At 33.9% G+C, this 18,796-nt stretch overlaps 1 protein-coding gene across 2 annotated transcripts in view; it reads right to left on the reverse strand.

Moving 5' to 3' along the window:
• ADAMTS20 (ADAM metallopeptidase with thrombospondin type 1 motif 20) overlaps positions 1–18,796 on the reverse strand; it is a 199,441-nt gene that overhangs the window by 132,937 nt on the left and 47,708 nt on the right. For both annotated transcript variants that reach the window (XM_011538754.3, NM_025003.5), the window contains exons 4-7: positions 16,453–16,706; positions 7,471–7,554; positions 6,806–6,930; positions 4,696–4,736 (exon numbers count right to left, since the gene is read on the reverse strand). In XM_011538754.3, the coding sequence (XP_011537056.1) occupies positions 4,696–4,736; positions 6,806–6,930; positions 7,471–7,554; positions 16,453–16,706 (504 nt within the window). The remainder of the gene's footprint in view (positions 1–4,695; positions 4,737–6,805; positions 6,931–7,470; positions 7,555–16,452; positions 16,707–18,796) is intronic.

The following is an 18,796-nucleotide window of genomic DNA, read 5'->3' on the forward strand; positions in this document are numbered from 1 at the left end:
CTGATAAATGAATTCAGTAAAGTCTTAGGTTCCCAAATCAACATACACAAATCAGTATCACTGCTATACACCAAAAACAATCAAGCAGAGAATCAAATCAAGAACTCAATCCCTTTTACAACAGCTGCAAAAAATAAAATAAAATACCTAGGAATACACTTAACCAAGGAGGTGGAAAATCGCAACAAGGAGAACTATAAAACACTGCTGAAAGAAAACATAGATGAATAATAAATGAAACAAACAGAAATACATCCCATGCTTGTGGACTGGAAAAATCAATATCATTGAAAATGACCATATTGCCAAAAAATCTACACATTCAATGCATTTCTATCAAAATATCAATATCATTTTTCAAAGAATTATAAAACAACAATTATAAAATTCATATAGAACCAAACAGGAACCCAGTAGCTAAGGCAATCCTAAGCAAAAAGAATAAACCTGGAAGCAACACATACCCAACTTCAAACTATACTACAAGGCTATAGTAACCAAAACGGTATGGTACTGGTATAAAAGCAGACACATAGATCAATGGAACAGAATAGAAGACCCACAAATAAAGCCAAATACTTACAACTAACTGATTTTTGACAAAGCATACAAAAATATAAATTGGGGAAAGAATACCCTATTTAATAAATGGTGGTGGGAAAGTTGGATAGCCACATGTAGAAGAATGAAACTGTATCCCTATATTTCACCTTATACAAAAATCAACTCAAGATGGATTAAATACTTAAATCTAAGACTTGAAACCATAAAAATTCTAGAAGAAAACCTAGGAAAAACTCTTCTGGACATTGGCCTAGGCAAAGAATTTATGACTAAGACCCCAAAAGCAAATGCAACAAAAACAAAAATAAATAAATGGAATCTGATTAAATTCAAAAGCTTCTGCACAGCAAAAGAAATAATCATCAGAGTAAAAAGACAATGCAGAGTGGGAGAAAATATTTGCAAACGATGCATGTGACAAAGGACTAATATCCAGAATCTACAAGATACTCAAACAAATCGGCAAGAAAACAAATAATCCCATTAAAAAGTGAGCAAAGGACATGAACAGACATTTCTCAAAGGAGATGTACAATTGGCCAACAAACATATGAAAAAATGCTCATCATTACTAATCATCAGGAAAATGCAAATTAAAACTACAATGAGATACCATCTTACCACAACCAGAAAGGCCATTATTATAAAGTCAAACAACAACAGATATTGGCATAGATGTGGTAAAAAAGAAATGCAAGTACACTGCTGATAACAATGTAAGTTAGTATAACCTCTGTGGAAAATAGTATGAAGATTTCTCAAAGAACTAAAAATAGATCTACCATTTGATCCAGTAATCCCACTACTGGGTATTTACCCAAAGGAACAGAAGTCACTATATCAAAAAGACACCTGCACACATATGCTATCTCAGCACAATTCACAACTGCAAAAATACCTAACTATCCATCAACTGATGAGTGGGCAAAGAAAATGTGGTATGTATACACCATGGATTACTACTCAGACACACACACAAAAACAATGAAATAATGTCCTTTGTAGCAATTTGGATGGAACTGGAGGCATTACTCTAAGTGAAGTTACTCAAGAATCAAAAACCAAATACTGCATGTTCTCACTTATAAGTGAAAACTAAGCTATGGGTATGCAAAGGCATACAGAGTGGCACAATGGACACTGGAAGCTCGGAAGAGGGAAGAGTGGGAGGGTGGGAGGGGGGTGAGGAGTGAAAAACTACCTATTAGGTACAATGTACACTACTCAAGTGATGGGTGCACGAAAATCTTAAGACTTCACCACTATATAATTAATCCATGTAACCAAAAACCACTTGTATCCATGAAACTATTGAAATAAAAAAATTAATAAATTAAAAAATTAAAGTCTAGCAACAGTTGTACATGACACATTGAAAGAAAATAATTTATTATTGAATGACATTTTAAAAGTCTTACCTAAACAGACAGATAAATGTTTTGAGAACTTGACATGCTGATTCTAAAACTTCCACAGATGAACAAAAGTCCAAAAATAGCCAAAATATTCTTGAAGAAAAGAAGCTGGTGGTATATACCCCACTGATTAATATTTATTATAGAACTATAAAAATGAAAATATTATGGAACTGATGCATGGATAAATAGCAAATATGGTCCCATAAAATGGTGGCATGATGTTGCAGACTCAAGTGCATACCGAAATTTTATATATGACATTTCAGATTCTAAGAAAAAGAGAGGAATTATTCAATGTATAGTTTGGGGAATTGATTATTCAAATAAAAAAGGATTATGAATGTAATTTCACAGTGAACTTCAAAGCAGTTGTTTATTTTGAGGGTTAGAAGAAGAGTTTTTTTGTTTTTGTGTTGTTGTTTTTAAATCAGGTACAACTGATTTTTTAGAGTGGTTCAATTTGGGGAGTTGAGCGAGGGAAGAAAAGATGTTAAAAAGTAATGTTTAGATGAAAACAAAAGGTATGGATGTGGTTATAGAGTTCAGGTTTAACAGGGAAAATTTTTGGCTTTTTTTAAACTTATGTGTTATATGGTTAACCATCGAGGGGTATGACAAGTTATTCCAGCTTTTCCAAATATTAATTATATTGGTTTTAAGAAGTCTCCATAATCACAGGTGGCATTTTCCCTTCATCTGTGGGAGTAGATGATGCAACCCACACAGTGACTTCGAACTTCTTTGATAGAATTTCCACTGCCTTGTTGAATTTCTCACTGTATCGCATGTCTTGCCAAGTGTGAAATAATGAGTTTATGAAAACTTCAAAACTACACATCATTTTGCATGAATAATACCCATTCGAGCTAAGGAGACTGACATGTTTTGTAGCATTTCCGGGTAAATGAAAATTTTATTGGCATTCACCATTTACTAGCTTTGTACAATATTATAAAGGTAGAAGCAAAACAGCAGCACATTGTGCTTGGCTTATAAGGATTGCTTTAGCACCATTACGTTAAATAAACAATGTGCATAGTGTATTGTAAGTGCCTACTCTTGCAAATTTACAATACTTAAATATACTTAACATTCTAATGTATTAAAAGTATAAAGAAAAAACTAAACAGACATTTATAGCAATACTATGAAATCTCCAATAATTGTTTTGACTGTTGCCTTTGGCTCTTTAGTGCAACTTTTCTACATTGTAATTACTATATTGTGTTGCTTTGTGTTTCCTATTTGTTATACATAACTTCAGAGTTAAGTACCAGTACACCAAGTACTGCAATTACCTTTCAGTTATTGTACGTGCAATGTAACAGCTTACAGTTTTGGTGCTTAATAATATTCCTTTTTTTCTTTAATAAAGGATATTTATTTGAATTTTTTAAAGGAATAAAACTAAATGTCTACCTAATATGATGTCAAAAAAAATTACCCCAATGGATTAGAGATTTAAATGTTAAAGGACAAATTTTAAAATATTTACAAGAAAACAGGATAATATGTTTAGACCTTGAGTTACACAATGGTTTCTTAAAGAAGAAACAAAAAAGCTAACTCTAAAAGAATAGGTTTATAAATTCAGCTACATTTTATATTTTCACACATAAAAGAATGAAAACAAACCAACAAACTGCTAAAAGATGTTTGTAATATGTATAAACCACAAAGGATTTGGTGTCAGGAAGTTATCAAGAATACCTGAAAAGCAGTAAGAAAGCAACAAATACCACACCACAAATATGGGCAATGTTTCTTTCATTGATTTCATTCCTTACAGAAAAAGAAATACAAATATATGAAAAGATGCTTGAATTCATTAGCAATCAGTGAAAAGAAAATTCTAATGGTAATAAAATATATTACATTTAGACTAAAAAAAAGAAATCTGAAGATACCCAGTATTTATAAAGATATAATCAAAAGGAATGTTTATTGATAAATGTAAAAATTGGTATAACCCCTTTAGAAAATAATTTGTTATATCTTATAAATGTGAATATTAGCTCACTTAATGGCACAGGCATCTTAATCCTAGGGATATACCCTAGCTCTTCCAGTGAAGTTCATGACACAAAAAAGTAGAATCAGCCCAAATACACACTAATATGATATAGATATATAAACTGTAGATGAAATATATAACAGTGAAAATGCATGAACTTTGACTACAGAATTCAAAAATAAGCAAAAGTGATTTTTGTTTAGGAACACATATATATGTAATAAAAGCAAATAGTTTTTGTTTAGGAACATACATATGTAATAAAACTATTTTTCAAGAGACAGAAGGAATTGGTAAATACAAAATTCATGCTATTGGCTACCTCATGGGGAAAAGTAGAGTGATGGAAAATGACTGAGCATAGACCAAGCAATAGTAGTGGCAAAGTTCTAACCTAAATCTAATGGTGAATTCATGGCTATTCATTTTATTATTTCCCTTTAAATTGGCATATAGGTGATTACGTATTATTTCTCATGCACAGCATTTGATATTGAGTAATTTGCAAATAAATGTTAGTTCTTATCATTTTGTAAAATTTACAGCAGCAGAATGAAATAAGTGACAAGTGTAATAATTTATCAAGATAATTAATCAAAATTACTAAAATGTAAAATAAATGGAAAATAGCCTAAACATTATTGTAAATAATTCAATAAACAATTACATAAGCTAAACTTAATTGACAAAATAACTTACCTAACATGTTACATTTCTCTTTAGATGAACAAATGTCTTCCCTTAAAATAAAAGATTTATTTTGAAGCATTTTTGGAAAATATTTTTGCAACAAGCCAAAATAAAAATAAAGAAGCTTTAACTATGACATGACTACTACCACAAACTAACTTCTAAAATCTAGTTCACATTAACCTCTCAAAAAGTCTAAACCTAGAGTAATGCACCATTTGTCCACATCAATAAGCAATACGTACTATAAAATCAGTGTTGTAAATAGTTGAATCATTAACCAAGTTCAATGAAAAACTTTCTATTTTAAATGTCTCTGCTTTTACTTACACAGTATATGTAATATAGTTTACCCTCATGATGATTCAATGTCATCATCAGCTTCAGTTATCATTCTCTCATGCAAAATAATGGTGTTCTCAGATGTTACGAAGTTGATAAATTTTTTTTGCTTCTGCATTACTTAGTCCATGGCCATTCAATTTGACAGTTCTCGTGTCTCCTTTCTTATCACCTCTTTCTCATAGCCCTTTCTTCCTCCCATATTTAATCTGCTATCTCCAATCTCTCCTGCTTGGCTTTTAACTACAATCCAAGGAAGAACCATGGACTATATATAACATAATACTATGTATAAAATTAAATCAATTCTACTTTAGTTTTGAAAAGAGATTAAAGTACAGTCATGCACTGCATAACATGTTTCAGTCAACAATGGACTGCATATATGACATCGGTCCTATAAGATTATAATACCATATTTATACTACACCTTTTCTATGTTTAGATAGGTTTAGATACACAAATGTTTACCATTGTGTTACAAATGTCTGTAGCATTCAGTACAGTAACATACTGTACAGGTTTGTAGCCTAGGGCCAGTAGGCTATACCATATTGCCTTGGTGTGTAGTAGACTACACCATCCAGGTTTGCATAAGTACACTCTATTATGTTTGCATAAAGACTAAATCGCCTAATGATGCATTTCTTGGAATGTGTCCCCGTCATTAAGCAACACATAATTGTACATGAACTACATGTTAGCTATATTACATTGGCTGAAGTTTTTCATTTCAGGATTCTAGAAAGCTGAGATTTCTTTTGAGTTTGATGCCTAAATAAAGGATTTCTTTGGTTAGTCAACCAAATATCAAACCTAGGATTTATATATTCTGGTAGTATCACTGTTGCTGAAAGAAAGGTGTAAATTAACAATGTATAGCATTGCTTGTAAAATGAATAATAATTTTATAACAGCAGAAGCTGTTTTTCATATAAATAAGTAGGTTTGAGAACAACCCTAGCAAAGGTAGCCTGGTAATTAAGGCAGGCATTAAGCATCAAAACGAGGAACAGATAAACAGATTTTTAAAAGGAAAGGGAGTCCAAAAAGTGGACAAACGAAAGAAGAACAAAGTTGCTCTTCTTTCCAAGCAACTGAAATACCAAGAAGGGAATGAACAAAACCTGCTCTCAGTTCCATAACTATGTTAATTTCTTAATTCTCTCATTCTGTCACTAATATCGTAAGGAAATTGTCTTGTTTAGATCAAACCATTACTCAGCAACCTGACATTGCTAATTTCCTAGAGAACTAACTAGTATTCTGGTTTGAAAGAATAGAAGAATGCTTTTATTCGATAGTTTCTTTTGTAATACAAATTCTTATAGAACACTTCTGTGTATTATTAACAAAGAATTAAGAAGAAGTGGCCGGGCGCGGTGGCTCACGCCTGTAATCCCAACACTTTGGGAGGCCGAGGTGGGTGGATCACGAGGTCAGGAGATCGAGACCATCCTGGCTAACACGGTGAAACCCCGTCTCTACTAAAAATACAAAAAATTAGCCGGGCGTGGTGGCGGGCGCCTGTAGTCCCAGCTACTTGGGAGGCTGAGGCAGGAGAATGGCGTGAACCCAGGAGGCGGAGCTTGCAGTGAGCCGAGATCGCGCCACTGCACTCCACCCTGGGCGACAGAGCGAGACTCTGTCTCAAAAAAAAAAGAAAAAGAAAAAGAAAAACAAAAACAAAACAAAAAAAAGAATTAAGAAGAAGTATCAGTCATGCAGGAGGGAAGAGTAAAGGATTGTATGGGAAGGGTTATTTCTATAATCATACCTAGTGATAAGAACAGCAGTGTCATGGTGGGAAGGGTGAACATCATCAAGGTCATTCTGAGTTTGTTGCCATGAACAAAAGTTCTTTAATGTGGTAGCACCATCAAAATTAATGACTGGTCCTTCCTATGCAAAATAAGCAATGCAATACTATGTCAAAATATTAACGTCCTCTTTTCCTTCCAAGTTTATCAGCATCTGCACAATTTATCAAATAGCATTCTCACAGGTGAATGAAGGAGTGACAGCATCTCTTCTTCATATATTAACTATAACGTATTTTAGCAATATCTAAAACATTATGATCAAAACTGAATCTAATTAGATCTTCTTAATACAACCATCCAATATTTAGGAAAAAAACTTTTAAAAACGACTATATTCTAAATCCTCTGACATTAGGATTATAAAAATGAATACTAAGGTTTTCAATATTTTATTTTTGAATTGTTTATTCACTTTTGTTACTTCCTTTACTCAGTTAAACACTGTTGTCATTCTATTTTATTTCCATCACAACAAATAAGGGTAATCTCATTCCTTCTCAAATCAAGTCTTTTAAAATTTTAAAAATATCTCATTTCTAATAAGAGTTCCATAATCTCTACGTATTGTCACTAAAAACTTACTACAACTAAGGTTACTAATTTTAGACCTGTTTCTTACCTCCTCACGGTGAATCATAACTAATTTTACCACTACTATGTGTATCAAATTTCCAATACTTGGATCTTTGTAGATTGTTGCAACCTGCATGTAAAAAAAATGTAGGATTAGTTGTTTAAAATGAATATTTCTTCTCAAAAGTAAGTTGAAATAGTCACAGAGTATCAATTCTCTAATTGCACTGCACGTAGGAATCTTGGAATCTCTTAGAGTGCTTTAACAAATCCTCATGTTCAGACCACATCCCTTACCAAATAAATCAGAATCTGCAGGATTGAGACTCAGGCATCTTAAAGATTCTCAAAATTTGAGTATCTTAAACCTTGCTACTGAGACTGATCCATGGATCAGCAGCATCCACATAACCTAGAGCTGATATGAAACACAGAATCTCAGGCCCCACCCTGGATTAATGATTCAGAGTCTGCACTTTAACAAGATGTCAAGTGATCTGAACACATGTTAGAGTTTGGAACTGCTGTTATGGATGATTCAGCAAGAAATTCACTTCATTCTGTGGCATAATCCACAATTTACATGACTACAATATTCCATAAAAATATGTAAGTTTTACCTATTCTTTTCTGATAGTTCACCTAATCTTTCGGCCACAGTTGCATATTTCCAACTCCAAATATGGTTATTATTTTTAAAGTTTAGCATCACCAGAATCCATAGAGGCAGATCCATCTAGAATCATATAAACAGCCCTAGAAGAGGTCATGAGTCACAACCTGGTCCTCAATTTTCCAGGATTGGAGAATGTTAGGCACTCTGAATGGGCTCTGCATGGGCTCATTTATGATTCATGATCAAAGTGCCATCCCATTCGCTAATTCATATTCTCTTCTTGTAGCCATTATAGAGGTTGCCACTGCAGTAGGGGTGTCTTCCATGGCCAATGCCTCTGCCTGGTACTTAATTAGAGGCATATCCCACTCTGGATCTGGGCTACCTGTGCAATGAAATCTGCTTCTAAACCCTAGATCACCTTCTTGTTGGCCACTGCCTAAGTCAAGGCAGCAATTGCTCCAGGGTGTGCTACTTCCCTCAGTTGTTTAATAAAGAAATGTTCAGTATCTACTCATTGCTTTGTTGGCTAGAGAAGCAGATATAGATAAGAGGACAAAGGCCCTGACCTTATGAAGCTTACAGTTTGTTAGAAGTATCACTACCGGAGCCCTCACTCTATCAAAGCTGCTTCACCACAACATATAACATGACTGCTACCAATGTCTCTTGTGCCAAAAGGACTACTACCAGAACTAGAGCCAAAAGCATCTTTAGAGCTGCTGACACTGTAGGGTCAGCATGAGCATAAATACATAATCCAGCATCTTTACTACTGTTATAGCTGTGCAGCCTCAAATATTTACAGGTTTGTCATCTGTACCTATAGTGATGACTTTGGCTCTGGTGGTAGCATGTTTTGGCAAGAGTGGAGGTAGCCCCAGTGGGGTTGACAGTAAGTTAAGACTGGGATGGTCAGCTGATTGGTGATTTCAAGCAGGTCTGTTAGCAATGCAGTATTTCTCACTTTAAAATAGGAGCTGTGAATTTACAGTTGAATTTATATATTCATTTTACAGGCAATGTTTTAAAATACATCTACCATGGAGAAAAAAAAAGCACACCTGTAATTATGATTTTGGAGTTACTTTGATCCTGTGAGTTTAAAAGTGGATGCTTTTCTAAGTCAAATTACAAGGTAAAAGACAAACCTCAAAGGTATTTATAAAAGCTCTTTTTCCCCTATAAATGAAAAACAGCTGTGAAGACTTCTGTGTCTCAGAATAATATGCATATCCAGTGGTCCACAGAAAAAAGAGCATATGCACTATGAGGTGTCTACATGGCTAACTACTATATCCATTGTCCCAAGTATTTTGACTATGAATGAAAATCTGGATGTTATAATATCAGCTATAAAATATATAATCACAAAAATATTTCCAGTTTCGGAAGGAAACAGATGCTGCACCTTTATTTAAAAGTGACAAATCTGCAAGCTAGAATTTGGAAAAAAATTCCCAATATTCTGATAGTATAATTAAAATATATTACTACAGCAAAATATCCTTGAATGTAACACTAAGGAAAAGATAATGCAAACAATTGTTATGCAAGGTGGATAGTGGCTATAAAACATAGTTATTTAAGGGAAACAGACACAGGTTCCAATTCTAAGAGCCATTTGATAAAACCTACTTCTAGGCTACTATAAGGATTAAATGAGATGGTCTGCAAATAGTATTTAGATTAGAGCCAGGATCATAGGGATCAATCACAGTGGCTATTGTTCTTATTGCTACTTATAAAGCTTTTTCAGAAGAAAAGGCATAATACAGATATAGATATACATAATGCTAGTTCTAGTACATGTGTTTCAAGTTAATTATCACAGTATGTCTAAATTGGAAGCAAAGTATCCAAAAGCATGATTGCTTTATTATCTCTTTTAGTACTTACTGAATATCTATTGCCCATCAAACCCTGTGTTGCTTACTAAATATACAGAGCCAAACAAGGCATAATCTCTGCCCTTAACTCACAGTCCTCTGGGGGTAAAAGATACAAAAACAGATGGTTTGATTTAAATAATTTTTACTTCCCCCAAAGAAAGTGATATTTTGCTTTTACACTAAAATAGTATATTTCATTAAATAATTAAGGATGTCATCATGCTCATTTTTTCTAATTGTATCTCTTATTGTTTTACTGACCTTTATAATTTAAGTGCTCATATAGGATATACGTATACCTTTAACTATATTTAGATGTTTAAAGGTGATGTTATTGAACAACTCTATTCAATAAAGCTAAATTGTGATTCAAGCAATGAATAGCCACAAGGCCCATTTGGTACTCAGAGAATTTTTGAAGCAGTATGTACAATGCACTTCTCTCCTTCCTAAAACTACCACCCCAAATTAGATTGCCTTGATGATAGGATACTACGTTTGCTATAAATAATAAATGAGTAAATATTAAATGATACATAAAATATTTATTCAATGTTTATTGTGTGCCAGATGTGTTCAAGTTTAAATGTATTAATTCATTTAATTATCACAACAAATCTTATGAGATAGGAACTATTATAGTGTCCATTTTACAGATAAGAACAGTAAGATACAGAGAAGTTAACTAAGACACTGAAAGTTAGGCAGCTGGTAGCAAACAGAACCCAATTTTCATTCTGTACAGTCTGGCTTTAGAGCACTGACTACTTTATCTGATCTTTATTCAGCATTCTGAACCAATTAGTTCTTGGTACAAAACATTTGAAGACATTTCAAAACCCTGCTGCAACACATCCCCCGGCCACTGGTATTGTCCTGTTATAGTCACTTGCCCGTGGCCTCAGAGAAGCCCTAGGCAGTCAGCAGACCTGGTCTTTAGTTCCAGCTCTAAACAAGTAGCTACAAGCTAGTTGTTCAACCCTGGAAAATGAGTTGATTTTTTTTGTCTTAATGTCTTTAATATCCATGTTGAGGCACTGGGTACCCTTGGGTCACAATGTCCTTGCATATTGGATTAATATTAACCAGGTGCTGTTGGGAAGAGTTGTGAAAGACATTTGTTTTAAAGAACAAAATCATTCCACAGTTTGAGAAATGAGCTAAAATAATTAGATATCTTCATGGAATCTTGAATAGGCTAACACACATACACACACACACATACACATATTAAATCTATGAGACAGAGATATTATATACAGCATTTCATGCAACTATATGACCGTAGTCCTTAGCCCCCCGACCATGGAGCGTATCATAGGACTAATATTCCATTCCATAGACTACACTTTAGGAAACACCAGACCAGATTTCTAACGTATCATCCTATTCTAAAAGCCTTGTAATATTTTCAATATATTACCTTAATCACTACATTTTAGAGTGCTATGTATTCGAATTTTTATTGATCTACTTAAAATGTATTTAATCTTTCATTCCTTAAATGTTAGTTTCCTTCACTTAAGTAGTTCTGACTTGTTTATAGGTTTCATAAAATAGTAAATATTATTCTTTCATGGATATTTAATGAAAGGTGAAGAAGAAATGGTATGAATTGTATTGTTGAAATCTTTAAGAAAATTCTAGGCAAAATATACTTCATACAAAGCATGAAACAAATTGCTATCACCATTAACTTACCAACCATTTTGAAAATAATTTCTAGATAGAGCTTTAGCAAACATTCACATATGGTATGTTCATAGGCCACCTTCATTAAGAAGTACAAAGTCATCTATAAAAAACTGATTTTGACAAACAAATTTTGTTTACAAAGATCATTACTCTTTACTTCTTTGGAAAGATCTTTTCATTTTTAAATTGAAAATGATGAAATTCTACATACATACAAAGCGAATATGTGCAAATAATTAAGAATATGCAGAGCACTAAATTGAAGGGAAAAGTAATATAAATGGTTATACCTGAAGTATGAAAGCATATCATTAGTTTTTATTTTAATATAGTTAAAAATCTTCCCCATCCTAATAACGTCAGTAAAAGCAACTAACAAGATTGAAAGTAATGGTATAAAATCAATGTAATGCAAATGAGGGTTTTTAGTTGATATATGCCTCTAATAATAGTAACCATAATTTAATGAAAGGGTTAATTCTTGAGGATTACATGATGCTCCTTAAACTTACATTATTAAATCTGCAACAGGATGAATATTATAGAGTCAAACCCTTACAAACACAATGAAGTGTGGAAGTCTTTAATACTTAGTAAATATTTAAGGTCTATTAAATAACAAATTGAGTATCAAAATAAATATACTGAAGAAAAAACTGCTCTAGTTTACATACATTTTTAGTAGCTTAATAATGCATATATATATGCCATTTTAACCTGGTGTTGTCACCCAAATTCCCTATGAATAAAGGTTTTAGAATAACAGCTGAGTATCTCTGCTCATTTAACACAAACACTATTTCACTAGATATATTAGTGTGTTCTTCTCCACTAATTTTAATGTTAATTCCAGAAACCTTTAAGTAAGAAGGGTCTCTAGCCTATTCTAACAACATTAAGTGCAACTAAAAAGTGAATCAAGTCACATTCTTTATTTCAATATCACTGCACTCAGGTATTTCGTTAAATTGTTGAAAGCAAAGAAAAAGTTTAAGAAGACAGCACAATTGTTTACTTCGTGCAGGATGAGTAAGGATAGATAATCCAAGTTGTGTATATAATCCATTTGCTCAATCCTGAAAGCATTCCCCTATTTCCCCCTTTATATTTGGAGCTCAACAGACAAAAATTATTTTTTCATCACTTTGAACTTGTCTTTATCATATACCAAGCCTATGTCACATTGTCTTGACCTTTTCCTAAATTACCGTGACAGAATATCACCAATAATCCATGTGTATGTTTGAATAAATGCAGTTAGTGCCTTCTAAAAACTGGAAAAAGTATGCAAAACCTGAACAGCTCCTTCCTAAACTAGAAATATCTGTGGACACTTATGTGCAAATAGCATTTCTCTTACCCCTTTAAAGCGGTTTTTGAAATGGTCTTAACAAGTAACAATAAAACAAGTTGGACTGGATTTGATCGCTACACAGTGTGATCAACAGTCCCAGTTTGCTCAGGACTGAAGGGTTTCCAAGGACATGAGACTCAATACCAAAACTGATCAAGTTCCAGGTAAAACAGGGAGAGTTTGTCACCCTTTCTCTTAAGTTCCCTTTCACCTTTAATATTTTTGCAACCATAAATATAGTTGTGATCACTGTTTTTTAACCAATAAAACAACAATTTATGTACAGAACCATAGGGTCTACTAATTTTCCTATGTCCTCACTTGAACATTCTTTCAGTGAGAGAGAAGAAAAGCACTAAACCCAGGTAGCTTAGAAGTCATCTGAAATTGGGCTTCTTAGGAAGAAAGAAAGCATATACAAAAACTCAAAGTATCTCAAAAGGGAGACTTACCCTCCTTAATTTTTCCTCCTACCCCACTTATATTTGGAATGCACACCTTTTCCTCAACTTTGCTGCATCTATCTCCCTAAGAACAAAAGCTTAACACAAACCAGATGACTGCGTCTATAAAAATTCTGTCTTCAACAGAAACCTGCTCTCTTTCTACTAGGCCTAAAAATCCAGAAAATGATAAGCACATGCATTGGTCTGTTGTTTCAAGCAATCTCAGATGCAGATTTGCTTTCCATGAAGTCAAAAGGTCTGTCTCCATTCCCTTCAATTAACTCTGGCTTTAAACCTTCCATGGAGAACTTTAGTTATCTCAAAGTATGTCACAATATCTTCTAACAGTGATGATACTGATTTTTTTTTTTTTTTTTTTTTTAGATGGAGTCTTGCTCTGTCACCAGGCTGCAGTGCAGTGGCACGATCTCGGCTGGGAACCGAGATTCCCAGTGGCAACCTCTGATTCCCAGGTTCAAGCAATTCTCCTGCCTCAGCCTCCCGAGTAGCTGGGATTATAGGCACACGCCACCATGCCCAGCTAATTTTTGTGTTTTCAGTAGAGACAGGGTTTCACCATGTTGGCCAGGATGGTCTCTATCTCTTGACCTCATGATCCACCCACCTTGGCCTCCCAAAGTGCTGGGATTACAGGCGTGAGCCATGGCGCCTGGCCAATACTGATTTTTATGTAAAATATAGATAACAAAACCTTTCTGAGGGTGGTGATGTCACCAAGAATGCATGAAACTATTCCAAAATTGGTCCTGTGTTTATTCCTTTATTCCTTCTAGTCAGTATGCCCAAAGCACTGACAATAGTTATCTGTCATTTACCATGTTTTAAAATCTATCAAATCTAGTATTTTCCTTCAGTATCTCTCCCACCCAACTTTCTTTCCTTATTGCTTTTTTTTTTTTGAGAGAGAGTCTCAGTCTGTCGGCCAGACTGGAGTGCAGTGGCATGATCGCGGCTCACTGCAACCTCCATCTCCTGGGCTCAAGCGATTCTCCAGCCTCAGCCTCCCAAGTAGCTGGGATTACAGGCATGTGCCACCACGCCTGGCTAATTTTTGTATTTTTAGTAGAGACATGGTTTCACTATGTTGGCCAGACTGGTCTCGAACTCCTGACCTCAGGTAATCTGCATGCCTCGGCCTCTCAAAGTGGTGCGATTACAGGCGTGAGCCACTACGCCGAGCCCCAACTTTCTTAATGAATGTCATCTCCTTTAACCATTTTCTATTGCAAAGTATATCCCATTGTTCCATATAATTGATACAATCTTGTACATATCAACTGACATCCTCCACACCATAGTTTTCATTAGAATCCCTTCATAATTTAGAGTTTGCCATACCAACATTTAGATAATTATTCATCTAGGTAATATATGTAGGTAATTTTACTTCAAATTCAGAATTTAAAAAAAGTAATTAGGATAAATTTCTATCTATACTTCTGTTGTCATTTTAAAAAATTCAATTGAAGTAAACAAAATAAGGGTAAATTTTACACAATTTCAAAAAATCATTTTATATATTTGTTTTTATTTATCACAATGCACTGAATTCTGAAAAAATATTACTTTTATTAATACTTTAACCATGTCTCCATTCATTCTTTCAGTAACTATTTATTGAGTACCCACACTGTATCATATACTGTGTTTAGGCAACGTAGACTATGGTATAACAATAAGAATTTAAGGTAAAATGTCATATTTTAGAAAAATGATTGTCTCTTATGATCTTCATGTCACAATGAACTGGGATCTAGCTAAGGGAAATTTACAATATCCTATAGATATGCCCTTGCTAAGTCTTTTCAACCAAGTGGGCCTGAATTCCCTATATGTGAATAGAAGTACTTCCAGCAATGAGATATGTTCCAAATACACTGAATCTATAAATAGGTGGCTATGTAATTCTTTTTTTTTTTTTTTTTTTTGAGTCATAGTTTCACTCTTGTTGCGCAGGCTGGAGTGCAATGGCACGATCTCGGCTCACTGCAACCTCTGCCTCCCGGGTTCAAGCGATTCTCCTGCCACAGCCTCCCGAGTAGCTGGGATTATAGGCATTCACCACCACGCCTGGCTAATTTTTTGTATTTTTAGTAGAGATGATGTTTCACTATGTTGGCTAGGCTGGTCTTGAACTTCCGACCTCAGGTGATCCTCCCGCCTCAGCCTCCCAAAGTGCTGGGATTACAAGTGTGAGCTACCACACCTGGCCAGTAATTCATCAACTAAACTAGCATGAAAAGGGCTACCCTTAGTGATTACTCTAAAATAACAGGCCTAATTCAGGAATGTCCCAGGGTGGTGGAGGGGGATACGCGCGCGCGCGCGCGCGCGCACACACACACACACACACACATGTAAGGATGAAGCGTGATGCCACTTACACAGGATTGACACCCTTCACTAGCTCTAGAATTCAGTTCTGTGGGTACTAGCACTACCACTGCTTGACAAAGATAGTAACATCAGATCAAGGACCCTTAGAGTTATCGTGACCTTATATTCCAAATTTGTTAGGACTGTTGCATTAGTAATAATCTATCCCTTTAACGCCATAAATACATGTATAACTTAAAATATTAAGCGTCCAAATTTCTGATTTGGAGAATATAGCCATAATAAAAATAGTATCTTCTCCCCTCTGTGCAGAAATAGGGTAAGGTTTTAAAATTCAGTTTCAAAGAGCAAAAAGATCAATGCAACTAGGATAGTCCTGTCACTAGAGGGCAGAAGCCATTCATGTGAGAAAGTAAAGAATAATTCAAGCATTTTCTATAAGAGGTTTTGGGGATTTTTAAATGTTTTAGAAAGGTGTCCAAGTAACAGAATAGGATACTTGCTATAACTCTATCTAAACTAAACTTCAATGAAATCTTATTTTTGGCTTAAACCTAGATACAAAATTACATCTAAAGAGTTTGGAAAAAAAATTTAATTCGACATGAAAAAATTTCATTAAGCTAAACATTTTAGGAAATATAAAAGTCATATTAAGTTTACTTACAATTGACATTAGAGTCAGTATATAGTTTTGCAAATTCGATCCATGAGCAGAAACCACTTTAGCATCAGCTGTAACCATAATTTCAATGTATCTTGGATATGATATAAGACGTTTTTTCCTGGAATGTCTTCTTTCATCTTTCAATGGTACATTTTTTGATGTGTGTCCTAAAACTCTTTCTTTCATTACATTAAGATCTTCATTCATGTTGCTGTAGGTATGAAAGGGTAAACTGGTTTCCTTTATTTGACTTTCTAGGGAGAAAAAAAGAATATAATGCAGAGCCATTAAATTGGATGTGACGAAAAATATCGCAAAAAATAGAACAGCCAAAAATATTTAATACTTACATATCTGTTCCCAACATGAAAATAAAAGAACAAAGAGAAATTGTTATTTAAAATAGTATTGTACAGCATTATCATGAAGATTGCTTTTTATAGTAATAAAAAGTTTGCAAAAGTTCACATTTTCTTAGATTTTACCAACAAGAAATTTTATCTAAGTCATATTTGAAAAGGAAGGTATGACGATTCAAAAGCATTTATTAACTACCAAGTAGAAAATAAAAATATCCAGGACTTCTTATGTTTTTCTCAGCATGTAAATTAGGTTTTCAAGTCAACAATGACATTTAATCTCATTACAGAGTAGTACCATTTTGTAGGGTGAAACTTCATAAAATATAGAAAAAAACAAACTTTCTTTATACTACATGCGAAAAGCACCAAGAACAACAGAAAATTAAGCAAAATAACAATATGTGGGTGAATCTATTGAATCCAGAAAGGCAAATGTTCCTATAAATTTTTTAGTACTTGATTATATAAAATACCTGATTTATTATGTTTGCTTATATATAAATACTGCATGAAAAATAATTGAACATTAAAGATTATTACAGTGAAGTAATATGCATTTAAGTCCTACGCACTTACAGAAACTTACACATTTATGCCTGTGCGTTTAAATCTTAATTAATTGCCCTAATGGAAAAAAAAATTCATAGGCTGCACAGGTGCTTGTCCTATTTCTCTCCCCTTCATTTTGTTCCTCTCCTTTCCTCTTTACTTCTTCCTTTTTTCTTGGCTAATTTTTCTGACAATTGTTTGGTGGTGGTATTTTCAATAGAAAAGCGGACCAAAGGAGTCAAGTGAGAAGAAATAAAGGTCCTGGATAGTTTAGAAACCAAGTAATCAATACCAAAATAATCAATAACCAAGACATGGCTGTATTATAAGAATTAGATATAAATATAAAAACATATTTCATTATTATTAAAATAATTCATTTTAAGTACGAATGTAATCCTATGGCTGTAAGAAAGAAACAGAACACTTTAGACATTAAGTTTCCACAGATGAATTTTTTTTAATTAATATAAAAAATTTTATTCGTCTTATTCTTTTTTTTCTATTTAATTTTTATTTTAGGTTCAGGCGTACATGTGCAGGTTTGTTCTGCAGGTAAACTCGTGTCATGGGAGTTTGGTGCACAGATTATTTCGTTACCCAGGTACTAAGTATGTTACCCCATATTTGTTTTTTTCTGATCCTCTCCCTCCTCCCACCATCCACCCTCAAGTAGGCCCAGGTGTCTTTTACTTGGTGTGTCTATGTATTCTTGTTATCTAGCTCCCACATACAAGTGAGAACATGCAGTATTTGGTTTTCTGTTCCTGCATTAGTTTGCTAAGGATAATGGCCTCTAGCTCCATTCATGTTGTTGAAAGAACATGATCTTATTCTTTTTATGACTACATAATATTCCATAGTATATATGTACCACCATTTTCTTTATCTAGTCTGTCACCGATGGGCATTTAGGTTGGTTCCATGTCTTTGTTACTTTAAATAGTGCTGCAGTGAACATACACATGCATGTGTCTTTATAGAACAATTTATATTCCTTTGGGTATATGCCCAATAATGGGGTTGCTGGGATGAATGCCAATTCTGTTTTTAGTTCTTTGAGGAATTGCCACACTGCTTTCCACAGTGGCTGAGCTAATTTACACTCCCACCAGCAGTGTGTAAACATTCCCCTTTCTCCACAACCTCATCAGCATCTATTATTTTTTTTATTTTTTAGCAATAGCCATTCTGACTGATGTGAGATGGTATCTCATCATGGTTCTGATGTGCATTTCTCTAACGATTAGTGATGTTGGGCATTTCTTCATATGTTTGTTGGCTACCTGTATGTCTTCTTTTGAAAAGTGTCTATGAACTTCTTTTTCTAATTCCTAAAAACATCTAGCTTTTAATATTGTTATGTTCCTAGGTTTTAAAATTTATCTCAGTGGAAAATTCTGGAAATTTGACAAATTGTGCAGTCCTAAAAC

This window comes from Homo sapiens, chromosome 12 (genome assembly GCF_000001405.40).
Source record: "Homo sapiens chromosome 12, GRCh38.p14 Primary Assembly".
Taxonomy (NCBI): Eukaryota; Metazoa; Chordata; class Mammalia; order Primates; family Hominidae; genus Homo; species Homo sapiens.